Source organism: Homo sapiens, chromosome 9 (genome assembly GCF_000001405.40).
Source record: "Homo sapiens chromosome 9, GRCh38.p14 Primary Assembly".
In the NCBI taxonomy this organism is placed as follows: Eukaryota; Metazoa; Chordata; class Mammalia; order Primates; family Hominidae; genus Homo; species Homo sapiens.
In genome coordinates this window covers 82,345,805-82,364,493 of record NC_000009.12, presented here as the reverse complement: position 1 = coordinate 82,364,493, position 18,689 = coordinate 82,345,805, and the positions used below count along the sequence as shown (strand labels likewise).

Sequence of the window (18,689 nt, the reverse complement as noted above, 5' to 3'; positions counted from 1 at the left end):
CTATATTAAAATACTGCACATGTAAAAGAATGTAATTTCTAGGCTCAAACCCAGTCTTACCTGCCTTTACTTCACCTTATTCTTAGGAAGAATTTCCAAATAAAACAAAAATCATTTTGCTTAATATTATTTTCCTTCTGCACAGTATCTGCCTTGGAAGGCAAGTTAACAAAAAAGTCAGCTATAATGTGTTCACTGGTAATCAAATATTTACCAATAGAGTGCCTTTAATCATATAACAGAATATAAAGATGGCTCTCAAAGACCCATGCTGGGACTGGAAAAAGAGGGGATCAAACATTTAATGGAGGAAGGGCTTCTAGTTTGGTTCAGAACAGACAACTCGCCATGTGATGTACACATTGAGAAAGGCCAGTTAGGGAAATCGTTTCAAATTATCATGTCGGCTAAGTAATTGGTCTTTGGTGTCCCTAAACACCAACCTATAAATAATTTTATTTTCATTTTGGATCAATGTCTTCTAGCCCTTGTCTAACTAACCTGTATTGATGTCTTTTTAATTAAACCATGCGTGATATGCTCGCTTGGCAGTGGGGCATACTGAGTGTGCATGCTAGGAATTCCAGATAAGGTAATTATGCTATTTGTCACTGTCATGATTAATGTGTGACAGCTGTTATGACAGCTGTGCCACTGTTTTGTCACAATACTCTGTTCATCCATAACAAAATTAGCTGTCGTACTCAAAGGTACACACTTGCTGCTATTTCTTTCTGAAGTCAACAATGAGAAAATCGAGAGGGAATATTACATGAACTCTGTGACAAACAAGAAAAACGACATCTTTATTTTTTTTTTTTCTTTAAATGATGATATAACCTGCCTGCATTGGAAATGCAGATAGCTCACCTCTAGCAAACAAGCTGTCACAAGAAGCCAATCCACCACTAATCTGTCTAACAAGGTCTCAGTATGTGAGGGGTTTGCTTCATAATTTGAATCTGCCTTGTCAGGCAAGCCTTTTAGATGTTACCCAAATTAGCACTGGCTGGAACTGTTTCTGCCTGTCAAGGTGGGAACCTGCAAATGCAGCGCTATAATAGGAAGTGGGAGATCGACTCAACCTTTCCTTTAGGCGTCAGTCAAGCGGAGCAAAATAGGCGGCTCTTCCTCCATCTCCCTCAAGACAGCTGTCCCTCCCTCTTCTGGCACCCCTGCATCCTTTACTGGGATAGATGCTTTCAGGAGCTGACTCCAAGCAGAGATGTAAATTGTCAGATGAAGGCAGTTATTAATGTTAACCAATATTGTTTCTTACAGAGCCCTAAAACTGGACTATAAAACCATGGAAGACACTGATGTGAAGAGACAGATGGCTACAATAATAGCGTCATTATTCTATAGCTTTGAGTGAAGTGGATACAGCATATGTTCCATAAATTTAAAAGAAAAAGAAAAGCTCACCTCTATTCATAATGAAAAAGAAACATTGTAACAGCAGAGACTCTGGGTGCCATAGAAAGAAAATATGTCATGTCAGATATGCATATCTAAGTGAACATATTTTATCTCTTAAAACTTAAAGGGAGAACAGCTGTAGCTATTATTATTTTTCAACAAGTGATTAGTTTGATATACTGATACTATATTTGAATTTGCCAATAACTTAATCAGAAAATAGAATGTGCAGTTTTAATAAGGATATTGTTTAAATCAGGCCCATCTGCACTGTGTCTCCTAGGCCTCCTCTCCAAAAACAGTCCTGGATCAGAAAAGTGAATAATTTCAAACAATTATAATGATTACAAAGGAACTGTTACCACCTGCTGCTGACTCTTGGCAGCCATCAGTCAATGAAGGATTTAATTAGAATATTTATCAACAATGGCCAAAATGCCTTTTGATTTGTTCCTGATTTCTCCAAGCTGGAAGAGTAAACTCTTTGCAAACTTCAATTAAAAGACATTGGAAATTCTGGGGGTCTTACCCAACCGGCTTTATTCAATTCTCTAATTTGGTTTTCTTGGTTTATGACAAGTATGTGTGCCCTTGGTGATTCTTTTCACTTTTTTTTTTTTTTTTTTTTTTTTTGAGGCAGGGTCCCTGTAACCCAATATGGAGTGTAGTTGTGTGATCTTGGTTCAATGCAACCTCCGCCTCCTGGGCTCAAGCAATCCTCACACCTCAGCCTCCTGAGTATGCCAACTAATTTATTTTTTGTATGTTTTGCAGAGACAGGGTTTCACCATGTTTTCCAGGCTGGTCTCAAATTCCTGGGCTCAAGCAATCCACCTGCCTCAGTAAAGTGCTGGGATTGCAGGCGTGAGACACAACCTTTTAACTTTTGAAGAGTATCTCTTTCCTATTTCAAAGGAGACCAAGAACATTCTCTGACACATATTATTACCAAACACTTAGTGTTTAATTACTAGATCATACAGGGAGTTCAGATGAAGGAAGAGATGGTTGTGTGTGCTGAACGTCCTTACATTCTTGGCATTTAGAGAAGGCATCTTTGTTAACTGTTTCTGTTCATTCTGAGAACTGCCTGCTGAAAAACTATTCATCTTCAAAGTCCACCTCCAATGCCATCTCTGGCATAAAGCCTTCCACGAAATTTTGCTGCCATGCATTCTTGCTCTTCCTTTTTTCTCTGAACTCCTATAGCACTTACTGCCTGTTTGTTTTCAGCACCAAATCACATTTAGCTTTGGATAACAAATATGTGCTTTTCTTACTCTGGGGCTCCAAGAGAACAGGAAACACTACTCTGAGTCTTTTTGTTCCTCACAGGGTCTAGAATACTACCTCAAACACAGTAAGCTCTTTTTGTTCACATTTATGAAGTAAATTAATTAATGCATAATGGAATCCTAAGAAGAGTGTTTGTGTATTGTAGTATTTGTATTCAAGTTATACTTAGGAATTCACGAGCTATTTAATGGGTGTAATTTTTTATAAGTGAACATGAAATATTTAAACAGACAAAAGCTCCCAAGTGGTAACAATCAGACAACTTTTAACATCAACTGCTATACCCAAGAAGGATGTCAGATAATGGGACACCTGAAATAACCATACTAAAAAAATAAAAGGGTGTTCCAACCAGACAGCTAACCTATTCTTGTCTAAAGCCAGGGAGGTCTATAGAAGGCCTCTCTGTATAGCTGAAAAGGCATCCTTAGATATTCACACATAGTACCAAACAGAATGCATTTTTTGGTAGTTTTGTGGGAGGCAATTTTTGCAGAAGGCAGTTACACTGGAGGATAATTGCACTTTCAGCATTCCATAGGTCTGTGGAATTAGCAATTAAGAATAGAAAGAGCTAGAGTAATAGAAATACAGTAAGTCCTCACTTAACTCCATTGATAGGTTCTTGAAACTGTGACTTTAAGCAAAATGCTGTATAACAAAACCAATTTTACTATAGGCTAACTGATATAAACAAGAGTTAAGTTTCTGTGGCATATTTCTGGTCACAAAAACATTACTGAACTTCTAAATAAAAACCAAACCATTTCTAATATTAAACATTGAAATAAATGTAAACCAAATATTCCAGTTCAGGGTTATGGGTGGCCAGAGCCTATCCAGGAAGCTCAGGGCACAAGGTGGGAACCTACTCAAGAAAGGATGCCATCCCATTGCAGGGCACAGTCACACACTCACACTGAGACCACATAGACATTCCAGTTCACTCCACATCTACAGCCTTGGGATATGGGAGGAAACTGGAGTATGCAGAGAAAAACCATATAGACATGGGAGAATGTGCATACTCCACACTGACAGCGGCTCCCACTGGGAATTTTTTTTTCTTATCAACATTACGATGAAATGACATTATTCGAGAACTTGCCGTATAGTAGATGGGCTACATGGAGCGATGGCAAGACAAAACTTAGAACTCTGCAATTAGTGGATCAACTCTAGTGCCAGAAACCTGAACACCAGGATGAGATGGGGTGGGAAGGTCCAAAGATGATGCACACTTAGCAACAGGTAGGAAGAAGACCCAACTCAAAGCCTGTCAGACTCTACAGGGACTTCTCACTAGTTAGAAAGAATCAGTACATACCAGAAGCCACTAGAGCTTCAACTTAATCTATAATTTTGTTTGTTTGCTTTTGGTCAACTATTTAGTAACCTGAACATTTTATCTCATTATGTAGGCTCAATTCCTTTAAAGATGTGACTTAATTTTTATTTAAAGGCATAATATAACAGATATTATGAATAAGAGGGTACCAAATCAGTGGACTGACTTGATAATTTCTGGAATCTTGATAAAGTGATATCCTATAAGCTGCTGCATAATGCCTTTTCCTCTTATATATACCAGCCCTTACACTTGTCCTTAAGAATTAATCTGATGGGCTCCTTGCTGTTCCAAAGAAAGTGATTTTTGAATGGCATTATCTCTCTGTTTTCTCAGATTCCATTTCTAAGCTAAAGGCAAGGGGCTTCAATGATCAGTTAATCTACTTAAACACTTGAAACTTTGCTAACTCTACCAAAACTCACATACCATGAATTTATCCTCATCCTCAACCAAAAAGATGGTTAACAAACTGGTATCCTATATGAGAGTCTTTTCAGAAAGTTTTGTTAAGATTAGGGGAAGTCTTAATGACAGTTATATAATTAAAGTTGTAGGGTTTATTCAAAAAGCAAAGACTAAAGAAACTGGGCATGTGACCCAGTTGCCTGGCCTGAGATGTGCTGTTATTCCATCCTTCAAATAATGAAATGGCTCTCGAAAACTACTCTTGTAATATATGCCAAGCTGACCTTTTTAACACTTCTAGTAACTCCTCTAGTTCTGGGGACCTTATTTCCACTTGATAATGAGAGTGCTCTCTTCTTACTCTCAGAGCAGTAATATGTGCAGTCCTTCATCTAGCCCAGTGGTTCTCAGACTTCACTGCACACTGGAATTATCTAGGAAGCTTAAAAAAATACCGATGCCACTGGAACTACCATTTGATACAGCAATCACACTATTGGGTATGTACCCAAAAGGAAGTAAATTATCATATCAAAAAAAAAAAAACAGAAAAAATACTGATGCCTAGGTCCCACCCTCAGGTATTCTGATTTAATTGGTCTGGTAGAGAGCCTACGCACTGGGATTTCTAGAAGTCTCACAGGGAATTCTACCATACAACCAAAGCTGAAAACTATTACTACAAGCTGAATGTCTCTTTACAATTAATGCGCATACAAATCATCTGATGATTTTGTTAAAATGCAGATTATGATCCAATGAGTCTGGACTGAGGCCTGAGACTCTGCATTTCCAACAAAAGTCTAGGTGATGCTGATACTCCTGGTCTATAGAACACATCTGAGTAGCGAGGATCTGGATGACTCTCACTTCCACAAGTTTACGTCTACATTATTGGCCATACCTGGGATTAACGGCAATGATTAAGTGGAAAGGTCTGTGTTTATGGTCATAGTCCAACATTCTTTTCAAATCATATCCTAATTAATCTGAGTACCATAGTTACAGACATGAGTAGGGTAAGAACATTAAGTAAGGAGAAAATACCTTGAAAATGAAGATTCACAGATATGCACTTACAGTCATCTTATATTCTGCTCATCAGAAAAGATTTCCTTTCAAAATGAGTGATTTCTTTTTTACAATTCAGTTAAAAACATAGGTTCTTTCCCCACATATGCAGGACATTTTGACACCTTATTATTTTACTTGATTCCACACATGTCCATGTTTTTAGTATCATGTGACAGTTGTGTTGTATTGTAGAGCAGAAAATTAACACAGTGATGTTTAATATGGATTCTCGGGATAATTCCATCAGAGGAGGAAGGGGGGATGGTTCCTTCAAATAAACACAGTACTACTTTAAAATCAGACATTCTTCCTTTAGTCTTCAGATTTCTCTAAATTAGTTAAAGTCTATAGGCCTTAAATATAAAGCTGGCTAGGCAACTAAACTTCCAATCAATGGTAAATTTTGGTGTGACTTTTGCGAATATTTCAGAATTGGCCAGGTGCAGTAGCTCACACCTGTAATCCCAGCACTTTGGGAGGCCGAGGTGGGTGGATCACGAGGTCAGGAGCTCAAGACCAGCCTGGCCAACATGGTGAAACCCCATCTCTATTACAATACAAAAATTAGCTGGGTGTGGTGCGGGCACCTGTAATCCCAGCTACTAGGGAGGCTGAGGCAGAGAACTGCTTGAACCCAGGAGGCGGAGGTTGCAATGAGCCAAGATCGCACCACTGCATTCCAGCCTGGGTGACAGAGCAAGACTCCATCTCAAAAAAAAAAAAAAAAAAAAAAAGAAAAGAAAAAAAAGAAATTTCAGAATTAAGTAAATTTCAGAGAGATGAGATTGCAATCAACATGTTTTCTTTTTTTGTTTTCATTTTTGTGCAAGACGGTTAAGGGGCACATGGGGGAAATGTGCTCATCTAGTTGCTACTTCATATAAGAATAATAAAAAATAATTACTTCACATTTTCACACCACACCATGCTAGCCTCATCTTTCCTCTAGAACAGGGTTAGGCAAACCCAGAGGCCAAACCAGTCCACTGCTTGCTTTTGTACAGCTCACAGCCCAATTGAAAATGGCTTTCGCATTTTTAAACAGTTGGGAGAAAAAAAATCAAAACAAAAATATTTCCTGACATTTGAACATTATATAAAATTCAAATTTTGGTGTCCCTAAAATAAGGTTGCTTTTGTGCTACGTCAGAATTAAATATTTGAGACAGACTATATGGTCCACAAAATGAAAAATATTTATTATCTGGTGTTTTACAGAAGAAGTTTGCTGATTCTTGCTCTAAAGATATCCTCATTTTCCTTTCCTTAATTTTTTTTTTTTTTGGAGACAGAGTTTTGCTCAGTCTCCCAGGCTGGAGTGAGGTGGCTGGATCTCAGCTCACTACAACTTCCGCCTCCCAATTCAAGCGATTCTCTTGCCTCAGGCTCCCCAAGTAGCTGGGACTACAGGCATGTGCCACCACACTGGACTAATTTTTGTATTTTTTTTTTTTTTTGTAGTAGAGATGGGGTTTCACCTTGTTGGCTGGTCTCAAACTCCTGACCTCAAGTGATCTGCCCGCCTTGGCCTCCCAAAGTGCTTGGGATTACATGAACCGCTGTGCCTGGCCCTTAATTTTTACTTAAAATTCAAAAGATGCCTTGTTTTGGAGATTGTACTGGTTTCCCAAGTTTTGACACCCTCTCATCCCTGCATGCACACATAAGTGAGCACACACAAGTGAGCACACACATACAGTGATTTTTTCTCCTTTGCCTTCTCACTCCTTCTCTGATAACCAGCAAGTCTGAGCAGCATCTGCTTCAGAACCCATTCTATTTCCTTTTCCTGGCCAGGAGAATGGAGTTCTTTAAAAAGGGAACTGAAGCTTGAAAGCACAGAGAATCACCTTTCCCTGTTTCATGCTGTCTCTTCTGGCCCAGCTCCTAGAGATAGGGTCTCTAACATATGTTGCAACTTTCCTCCCAAGCCTTCCGTGTGGAAAGTATTCCAAAAGGGAACAGACCTTTTTCTTGTTGCAATTTTCTGTCAAGAAGACTTGTGCCCAGAAAATATAAAAGAAAACTTTAAAATCTCTCCAAAACTTATGAGAGAAATTTGGCATAACCGATCAAGTCTACAGAAAGCATTTTTTTTTAATTTAAATAAAAAGCTGCCAGATTATTTATCAGCTTTGAGGAAGAACAAGAATTTCTATGTTCTTTTCCCTTAGGAAATGACACCAAAAAGAGTGCCTCTGGACATGTATAAGACAGAAAGGAAGAGAAAAATAAAATAAAAGGAATGCCTCAAGCTTTCATGTTATTTGTAAGAGTTTGTAAATGGAGCTATACTGATGACATAAATATGTGAGTGGCTCTAAATTTCAGAAGGGTCATTCATTTCCCTTGCAAAGATATTCTGGGACTATGAATGACTCTTGAGAAAAAGACATAAAAATTCCAAGACTCTGGCACCTTCAACAGCAACATGGTGAAGTGGGGAAAAAAAGGCAGAAAGGGGAGTGAGAAAACTGGAACTCTAATCTGCAGTTACAACTTCTATTGTCATGGACACAACCCCTAAATTTTTTGAGTGTCAGTTCCTTCCACTATGAAAAGAGGAGCAAAATGCTTCCCCACCTGGCTTCAGGGGGCTGTTCTCTGATTCAAATGTGATAATATACGTTAAATGCGCTCTGTTGATTGCAGATAACTAATCCCTTTTAAGATACTGTTTTTATTACCATTTATCTTATGTCTAGAGCTTTATCTCATTGTTTAATCAGTTTCCTTTAAACATCTAAAAAAAAAAGCAAAAAAAGAACTTTTAAATCCAATCTCTATGTTGTGGAAGAAAATTTATTTTCTGGTGTCTACAAAAAAAAATGTAAATCAATAAAAAAATACAGCTGGGCATGGTGGCGTGTGCCTGTAATCCCAGCTACTTGGGAAACTGAGGTGAAAGGACTGCTTGAGCCCAGGAGTTTGGGATCAGCCTGGGCAACACAGTCTGTACAAAAAAATTTAAAAATTAGCCAACGTGTGCCAACATGATGGCACACACCTGTAGACCCAGCTATTCAGGGGCTGAGGTGACAGGATCACTTGAGCCTGGGAGGTTGAGGCTACAGTGAGCTGTGATTGCACCACTGCACTCTGACCTGAGCCACAGAGTGAGACCCTGTCTCAAAAATAAACAAATAAATAGGAAAAACAAAATTTTTAAAAAATAAAAATAAACTGAAATTTTAAAAGATGGACTCAGAGCCAGGATTTGTAAGGCAGCTACTCCTAATGGGTTCCCCTTTCAAGGCAAAGTAGCTGGGGCCTGACCAGACAAATTATTCCACAGGCTGCCATTTTCCAAGAATATAGGGCAAATGTCCTCTAGAAAAATAAAACAAAACAAAACTCATGCTATATTTCCTTAATCTCTGTAATTGAAAGTGGTGCCTGTGGTCTCATTTGATCATGGTTCTCAAATAAATAGAAGTTAGAGGGAAATCAAGCAAAAGTAATAATGTGCACTCAGAAGTACAGGTCTAAGGTAGTTTCCTATCTCCCCCAAAGTATCATTCACCACCATGAGCTATAGTCATTATTTCCTTTGGCATGAGTGTTTTTTTGTTTCTTTTTGTTGTTATTGTTGTTGTTTACATCCAGATATAGAAGATCACATAACCACTATGGGGAAAAATATTATCTTGAAACAACATAACATCACACGGGAAGGAATCACATGGATTTATTTGTATTATAATCTTATGCTCTTTATATAGATTAGTGTACATATCATTACCAATTTTTTCATGGAAAAAAAAAACCTTTCCATAGGTTAAAGAGCATTTTTTAAATTACATGGCAACTTTATGCAAGTCTAATCTTATAATTCTGGAATGCTTACATAGGTTTATAATCTGTTCTCTGAATGCTTAGTGGAAATATTCAACCATCCAAAAATTAAAAAAGAGTAAGTACCAAGCACCTACCATGTGCCATGCCCTGCTTATTACTAGGGTCTCACTGGGGACAGTCATGCTCTTTTACATCCACTGGATGTGTGGCTTCCTCCCAACAGATAGTACTATCCTTGACCCCCCTTCTGGTCAAAGATGCCTTTGAGAACCCGGGACCAGCAAGCATGGTGTACACTCTTAGTTCTCTGAGCCTCCTCTCCCTCATGCCCCACTCTTGACAAAACCCCCTAATGCCCCTCAAATACAAGAGAAGGAAGTTAACTTCACACCCCAAAAAATAATGTTTGGAGCTGCATATTTTTAGCAACTAGAAAATATATGCCTACTACTATTACACTAATAGTGCTAAAACAAATACTAGGTTCTACCAGAAATGTCTCATGCAAAAGAGTTAAATTTCCAATAAAGGAGAAATTAGAAAATAAAATATAGTACACTCTCTCAGTACATGGCTAGGCAGGCATTAATGTTTGTAATAACATGAAGAATGCTTGAGTAATAGTGACTTACTTCACCAGCCTGGAGGTATAAACGTAGCCACATCCTTTTTATTATTCTAATGAATCATGTAAAACCCCAGAAGCCTGTGTGGGCAGGCAGTTTGGTATCCCATATCCCCTCAATCACAATGATGTAGACCAAAGGACTTCGATGACTCTTCTAAATGTGAGAGAACCATGAGTCAGAGGCAGCACTGTTGGCATTGTCACTTCAGGGTCTGCAGACACTGGACAAGGGTCCACAGCTACAGTGAAGCCCTTGTACATTTAGATCCTGAGGCCACCATGGAGGTCACCACTCATTTCAAACGCTGAGCCATCCCACTGTTGCCCAGTCGCGATGTCAGAACTAGGCTGGCCACGGCTGGGACCATATGAAGGCTCAGTACAGGGTCTGGCAAAGACAGACCTGTCTTAGATCCTTTTGGAAACTTCGGGAAGCCCCAACTTCCTATCTCTCACTGTATGTTCTCATCTATCATTGTCATGTTCCTTTCCCACCAAGAGGTCTCAGTCAGGAACACTGTGGTTCCTTCCAAATTTCTCTAATGTTGAATCTTAAGGAGAAACAGCTGGGGTTGGAGTCTCTTCACTCTCACAAGGCTTCTAGACTTCTTATGAAAAACTGATTCACAACCTTCACAAAAGGTAGGGTGAGGAAGGGTAGGGAGGAAAGGAAGGAAAACGTTGCTCAAACCAGAATCCTCTGCTTTGTTTCAGGGAGGGGCATGTAAATGCCAGAACAGGCTGCACACATGGTTATGTAACTAAGGTAAGCCAGGCCATTTCCCCCCACGATTAGAAAAATATGTCCTAAGCTGACTTGCTGGCTTAACCTCTAGAACAAGAAGAGGTTACATCATATTTTAAAATTCTACCCCACCAGTCACCTTGTTGTATTGATGCTTATAACCATTTTTTAAAATTATAAGTTTTAAAAAATGGATATCTAATTTTAAAGGGAAGAGTGGAGCTGGCAGGGCCCTACAGGGACCTTGCCCTTTCCTAATAACCTCACTTCATAAATCCCTGTCTAAGGGAAAGGGAAGGAAAGAAGGGAGAAATACATCCCAAAGTTGCCATCATAGCACCAGGGATGAGAAGCAGTCAGGCTGCCTAAAGAAGCAGAGTCTCCAGACTGTAGCTCTGGTACCAAAATGACAAAACTCAGGCACTTGGTTGCTGTATGGATGACAACCTGAGAAGTTAGGAGGTAGGGGTGGGGCTAGGGGCAGGAAACCAGACTGGAAAAAGAGAAGCTAAAAGGCGAATGAGAACCTGGAAGAAAGTGCTTTGCACTGAGACATACATGCTGATTAACCCCCCAGACATACACTTAGATATGTGCATGATGGTGAAATACACATTACATGATAAAATCAACCCAGTAAAAAAACAACAAAACCTATATATAAAATAGAAAGAAGATCAAAATATCAATTGCTGTTCTCTTTCAATGGTAGCAATTAAGCCATTCCCCCTATTATTTATATTGCCATTTTGCATCTTTTTTTAACTTTTTAAATGTAATTCTTTTTTCTTTAGAGGCAGGATCTTGCCATCTTGCGCCAGGCTGGTCTCAAACTCCCTGCCTCAAGTGGTCTTCTTGCCTCAGCCTCCCAAGTAGGAGAAACTACAGAGGCATGCCACTATGCCCAGCTAAATTTAATTTTTTTAAAGTGAGTAGTTAAATGTTTTAATGAAAAGTGCTTTTTGAACTAGCTAATATAGCAAGCAATGTAATGTTCCTTTACTTTTTATGAATATATATTTATTTTCATTATTTTTGAATCACAGGAAAAGGCTGTAAGGTTTGAATTTGCCTGTGGCTTAGTAGTTTGGTAAACTCATACTTGGCATAAGCATTAGTCAAACAGTACATGAATTGCTTATATAATGGAAAAAAAAAAATTCTTAACATTATTAATTGAAATGTCTCATGCAATTTACAACTTAGAGCTTAAAGACCAGGATCTAAAATACACCGCTCCAAAATCCATTGCCCTGCTTCCACAAGACATCCAAACCTTGGCTAGGTTTTCAGGTGACTGCCAAAATGGCAAGGAAGATAAGATTGTTGAAAAGTTGAAATGGAAATGATAATCAAAATTGAATAACCGAAGATAGGTCATAACAATATAGACAAATTAGTTCTCTTTTTAATATTAATGAATCCTCTATGTTGTGTAATGAGAAATGAAGAAGCCATGTCAACTTGCAAAAATTTCAAAACCAAAACAAAACCCCAGTGAAATGTGGCCTTTTGGAACCATTTTACATATATTAACTAATTATTACAATAATGTGTACATAGTATCATATGTTAAAACAGAGATTTAAAAAAATACAGCTAGTTAGCAGCAACTTGAGTCCTCTAAGTCCAGATCTTTTCTCACTAAAACAATAACAAACACAGAAGCATAAAAACTTGTACTAGCCTTTTAAAGTTTCCAAAGAGTGTATATTGTCTCAATGAAATTTTTAAAAATAATGCATCCAATTCAATAGTTATTTATGACACTCCAAAAAATCCACGAAACCTGCCGTGATTTGGGTTCTCCCAGAAGCAGATCTCGATAAAAGGATTCAAGTGCAAGTAGTTTATTTGCAAGGTGATCCCAGAAAACAACAGTAAAGAAATTGAGTAGTGAGGAAAGGAAGAAAGAAAGGAAAGAAAGCCAGTAAACAGTTACCATTGTGGGTAACTGGAGCTTAATCCCACTGGGGTGCCTCAGGAGACAGTTTGGAACATACCCCAGATTCATCTCAACTGAACGATAAGGGAGCTGAATATCCACCATAATCCTTTCTGTCTTTGGCTTAGGGTTTATTTCAGGAACACTACCTCTTCAGAACTTCTGACCTGTCTTTCAGGCAGGCCAACCTGTGAGCTGAAAAAGTCTTCAGGCTGGTGGTTGTCACAGCAGTCTTCAGCATGCAGAGTGAAAAAGCCAAGGAGCTACAGCCAGAACCTTGACATTTCCTATGGCTCTCAGTTTGGGCAGCTTTATCTGGGTGAGGTGTTGAAAGTGTTGAGCACCCATATAGCATTTACCTCTCAGCATATTACATACAGGTCTATGACTAGAGTACTATTACCATCCCCATTTTACAGATGATAAAACTTAGTCACAAAGTGGTTAAGTGACTTGCCCAAGGACACACAGCTGGAATTTCAACCCAAGCTCTCTGATTCCAGAATTCACAAGCTTAACTACCTTGATACATCTCCTCTACTGTGGCCATGACTGATCTGCCCACATGAACAGTGAAGGAGTTTGGGGAGAGCTTCTCATAGGGCTCTGAAAGGAGAGATACTGGCTCTTTCCTCATCAATTCTCAATGACTCCAAAGACAGTAGCCCCTGGGTTCTATTGACCTTGTTGCCCAGTCAGCCAAGACACACATTTGGCATTAGAAAATGAAGACCTACAGGACAATATTTTTCCCATCACCTACCTTCTACTCATTATCCATAACCTGTAGATTTGCTAGAATTTTTATTCAGAATCCACACAATCCAGCAGTCATTTTGGGACATGCTGACTTTCACTAACAGTTTAAATTCTAAGAGCCTCTAAGCCTCTCTCTTCACAATGCCGTTGTAACCCAGGATGCAATCAGTTTGACCACAGATTGTGAGCAAAGAGGCAATTTAGCTCTCTTTCCACTGACTGTGCAACTGTCATGGACACAGTGTTAGGCAGGTGGTAAATTAGCCTCTTGGAGAGGTCTTCTCATTCTTTCAGGCCATTGAGGCATTAAAACCTCTATGCGCATCTACTAGGCCATGTCATAAATGTTTGTGAGACTCTACTTTGGCACAATTTTAGGAAAACTACTTACTCCAGGTAACATAATTAGAAGTATGGCTTACTAGGCTTTTTTTTTTAAGACTATGAGCCTGAGTACCCATCTGAGTTTGGTAAACAGAATTTGGAATTGATTCTAATAGGTTTAGACACTAAGCACTCTTAGCCAATTCCTTCCAATTAAACAGAGAATAGGAACAGATGAGAAATCAATCAAAAGAAAATGAAACACCTTTGATCACCTTGGGTGGGATTTGCAAATGGGCCCATTTCTTTGTTGTCTTATATTATCTTGTGGCATTATCAAATTCTCTCTGAGACAAACTAGAAAAGTGGAATGGGCTCAGATTTCTTCAGTGGAATGACAGGGAAGGGTGCATTGCATTTAATTCTTTCCCATTTCAAAAAAATTATAGACATGATTCAGTTCCCAACTCTTTTAAGCAGTAACATAATGAGTATGTACATACAAAAACAAAACAGAACAAAACCTGGAGGATACATCAGATGTTTCCCTTCCACTACATTGTGTTTTTAGGAAATTTCTTCCTATTTTACATTTCTCAGAAATCCTGAAAACTTTTGTCACACGTCCCAGGTGGATGAGTAGAAAATCGACATAAGGCCAAGTGTTAAGGTTTCATGTATGTCTTCTTCATTATTTGTGGGTATTACCAATTGGTCTTCAATGCTTCATACCAAAAAGGTTCTCAATATATACTTTTTTTTTTCAGGCATAGTGAGATGTAGCAGGAAAAGTATGAAAATCATATACAGAAATGACTATCCCAATTTCAATTCAACTACTATAATTTTTAAGCCATTGTCACCATGGATAATTGGCTTAAATATCTGAAGTAACACCTACCTCATTAAGTTGCTGTGAGGATTCATGGTATGCTGCAGCCAGCTCCTACAATTTGAGAGAAACAAATGTGGGCATTTCATTTAAACTCTGCATTCAGTGACATCCTGTGGGTAACTTGAAATCAGCCTGGATGGAAATATTTATAACACAGAAATTAGCAAGAGCGATAAATCTGGGATTTTTTTTTGAAGAGCCAGCTTACTAGCTCATTACTGAAAATTAGGTAACATATGCAAAATGTTTAGCCTAGTGTCCAGCTCTTTTCCCTTTCTTTCCTGTGTTGAAGAGTATGTTATCTCTCTTCATGGACAATATGATTCTATACCTAGAAAACCCTAAAGATTCTGCCAAAAGGCTCCTGAAACTGATAACAACAGTAAAATTTCAGGATAGAAATCAATGTACAAAAATCAGAGCATTTTCTATAAACCAATAACATGCAAGCTGAGAGCCAAATCAATAATTCAATCACCTTTACAATAGCCACCAAAAAAATAAAATAAAACAACTAGGGATACATCTAACCAAAGAGGTGAAAGATCTCTACAAGGAGAACAATAAAACACTGCTTTAAAAAAATCATAGACAAGAGAAACAAATGGAAAAACATTCCATGCTCACTGGAAAAATCAACATTAAAATGGCCATATTGCCCAAAGCAATCTGCAGATTCAATGCTATACCTATCAAACTACCAATGGCATTTTTCATAGAAGTATTCTAAAAATCATATGGAACCCCAAAAGAGCCCAAATAGCCAAAGCAGTTCTAAGCAAAAAGAACAAAACCTGAGGCACCACATTACCCAACTTCAAACTATACTACAAGGCTACAATAACCAAACAGCATGGTACTGGTACAAAAACAGACATATAGACTAATGGAACGGAACAGAGAACCTAGAAATAAAGCCACACACTTACAGCCATATGGTCATTGACAAAATCAACAAAATCAGTAAGCAATGGGGAAAAGACTCATTAAATACATGGTGCTGGGATAGCTGGCTAGTCATATGCAGAAGAATGAAAGTGGACCCCTACTTTTCACCATATACCAAAATTAACTCAAGGTGGATTAAAGATTTAAATGTAGGATCTTAAAGTGTAAGAACCCTAGAAAAAAATCTGGGAAATACCATTCTGAACATCAGTCTTGGGAAAGAATTTATGACTAAGTTCGCAAAAGCAATTGCAACCAAAACAAAAATTGACAAGTGGGATCTAAGAAAACCAAAGAGCTTCTGCACAGCAACAGAAACTATCAACAGAGTAAACAGACAACACACAGAATGGGAGAAAATATTAGCAAACTATTCATCCAACAAAGGTCTAATATCTAGAATCTATAAGAAACTAAAACAATTGAACAAATAATAACAACCCCATTAAAAATTGGAAAAAGACATGAACAGACATTTCTCAAAAGAAGACACACAAATGGCTAACAAACGTATAAAAAAATGCTCCCATATCACTAGATATGCACTAATTTGCATATCAGAGAAATGCAAATTAAAACCACAATGAGATACCATCTCATATCAGGCAGAATGCCTAGTATTAAAATGTCAAAAAACATGCTGGTGAAGCTGCAGAAAAAAGGGAACACTTATACACTGTTAGTGGGAATGTAAATTAGTCTAGTCACTATGGAAAGCAGTTTGGAGATTTCTCAAAGAACTCAGAACTACCATTTGACCCAGCAATCCCATTACTGCATGTATATCAAAAGAAAACAAGTCTTTCTACCAAAAGAACATAGGCACTCACATGTTCATTGCAGCACTATTCACAATAGCAAAGACATGGAATCAACCTAGGTGACCATTCATAGAGGACTGGACAGAGAAAATATGGTACATATATACCACGAAATACTATGTAGCCATAGAAAAGAACATAATCATGTCCTCTGCAGCCACATAGATGCAGCTGGAGGCCATTATCCTAAGTGAATTAACACAGGAACACAAAACCAAATACCACATGTTCTCAGTTATAACAGGATCTAAACTGTTTCCTTTTAGGGTGACAAAAATATTTTGGAACTAGATTATGAACATAAAAAGTGCTACTGAATTGTCTACTTTAAAATGGTTACTTTTATATTATGTGAATTTTAATTCCATAAAAATTTTTAGACAAAAAGAAGAGTTTGAAAAGACAGCTTTGTTTCTATATCTAGAATACTTTAAGTTACTACAGTAATGATTTCACTTCATAATCAGTAATTTATTAAGAATTTCCCTTGCTATTGCTTTTGACAATCATACAAGGCAATTTGTTAAGATGACCTCTGATTTTTTGATATTTAAATATGAGGGAAAATTCTGCTGTAGTATTTTGAAGAATAGTGTTGCCAGCTGATCTTCAGTACTCCACATAAGCAGATCTGTATTAGTCCATTTTCACACTGCTGATAAAGACATATCCAAGACTGGGAAGAAAAAGAGGTTTAATGGACTTACAGTTCCACATGGGTAGGGTGGCCTCACAATCATGACAAAAGGCAAGGAGGAGCAAGTCACATCTTCCATGGATGGTGGCAGGCAAAAAGAGAGAGAGCTTGTGCAGGGAAACTCCTGGTTTTAAAATCATCAGATCTCGTGAGATTTATTCACTATCATGAGAACAGCATGGGAAAGACCCACTGCCTTGACTCAATTACCTCCTACTGGGTGGGAATTATAATTCAAGAGGAGATTTGGGTGGGGTCACAGCCAAACCATATCATTCTACCCCTGGACCCTCCCAAATCTCATGTCCCTTTCACATTTCAAAACCAATCATTCCTTCCTAAAAGTCATTTCAGCATTAATTCAAAAGTCCACAGTCCAATGTCTCATCTAAGACAAAGCAATTCCCTTCTGCCTATGAGCCTGTAAAATCAAAAGCAAGTTAGTTACTTCCTAAATACAGTGGGATACAGGCATTGGTAAATACACCCATTCCAAATGAGAAAAATTGGCCAAAACAAAGAGGCTACAGGCCCCACACAGTCCAAAATCCAGCAGGGCAGTCAAATTTTAATGCTCCAAAATGATCTCCTTTGACTCCATGTCTCACACCCAGGTCATGCTGATACAAGAGGTGGGTTACCACGGACTGGGGCAGCTTGGCCCCTGAGACTTTGCAGGGTACAGGCCTCCCTCCTGGCTACTTTTACAGGCTGGCATTGAGTGTCTTTGGCTTTTCCAGGTGCACTGTGCAAGCTGTCAGTGGATCTAGCATTCTGGGTTCTGGAGGATGGTAGCCCTCTTCTCACAGCTCCACTAGGCAGTGCCTCAGGAGGGACTGTGTGTGGGGGCTCCCACCCCACATTTCCCTTTCATACTTCCCTAGCAGAGGTTCTCCACAAGGACTCGGTCCCTACAGCAAACTTCTGCCTGGGCATCTACGTGTTTCCATACATCTTCTGAAATCTAGGTGGAGGTTCCCAAACCCCAATTCTTGACTTCTGTGTCATGTGGAAGCTGTCAAGACTTGGGGCTTCCACCCTCTGAAGCCATGGCTTGAGCTCTACGTTGGCCCCTTTCAGCCAAGGCTGGAATGGCTAGGACACAGGGCACCAAGTCCCTAGACTGCACAAAGCACAGGGACTCTGGGCCCAGCCCACGAAACCATTTTTTCCTCCTGGGCCTCCAGGCCTGTGATGGGAGGGGCTGCCATGAAGACCTCAGACATGCCTGGGGGGACATTTTCCCCATTGTCTTAGGGATTAACAATCAGCTCCTCATTACTTATGCAAATTTATGCAGCTGGCTTGAATTTCTCCTCAGAAAATAGGATTTCTTTTCTACTGCATTATCATGCTGCAAATTTTCTTTTTTTCTTTTTTTTTTTTTTGAGATGGAGTCTCGCTCTGTCACCCAGGCTGGAGTGCAGTGGCACAATCTCAGCTCACTGCAAGCTCTGCCTCCCGGGTTCATGCCATTCTTCTACCTCAGCCTCCTGAGTAGCTGGGACTACAGGTGCTCGCCACCATGCCCAGCTAATTTTTTGTATTTTTAGTAGAGACGGGGTTTCATCATGTTAGCCAGGA

The 18,689-nt window shown here is 38.9% G+C and overlaps 1 long non-coding RNA gene across 3 annotated transcripts in view, besides 1 other annotated feature; it reads right to left on the bottom strand.

The window, feature by feature from the left end:
- Positions 278 to 1,135: an enhancer, noted in NCBI's record as "VISTA enhancer hs800". NCBI's record gives its function as "enhancer in: dorsal root ganglion[5/6]" and the evidence as "EXISTENCE:transgenic organism evidence [ECO:0001131][PMID:17130149]".
- Positions 9,108 to 18,689, bottom strand: part of LOC105376107 (uncharacterized) — a 378,142-nt gene continuing 368,560 nt past the window's right edge. For 2 of the 3 annotated variants that reach the window (XR_002956914.2, XR_002956913.1), the window contains exon 5: positions 14,633 to 14,690. This is a non-coding gene — a long non-coding RNA (uncharacterized LOC105376107). Of the gene's footprint in view, positions 14,691 to 18,689 lie in introns of all 3 variants that reach the window. The other variant, XR_002956915.2, reaches the window with a different exon arrangement.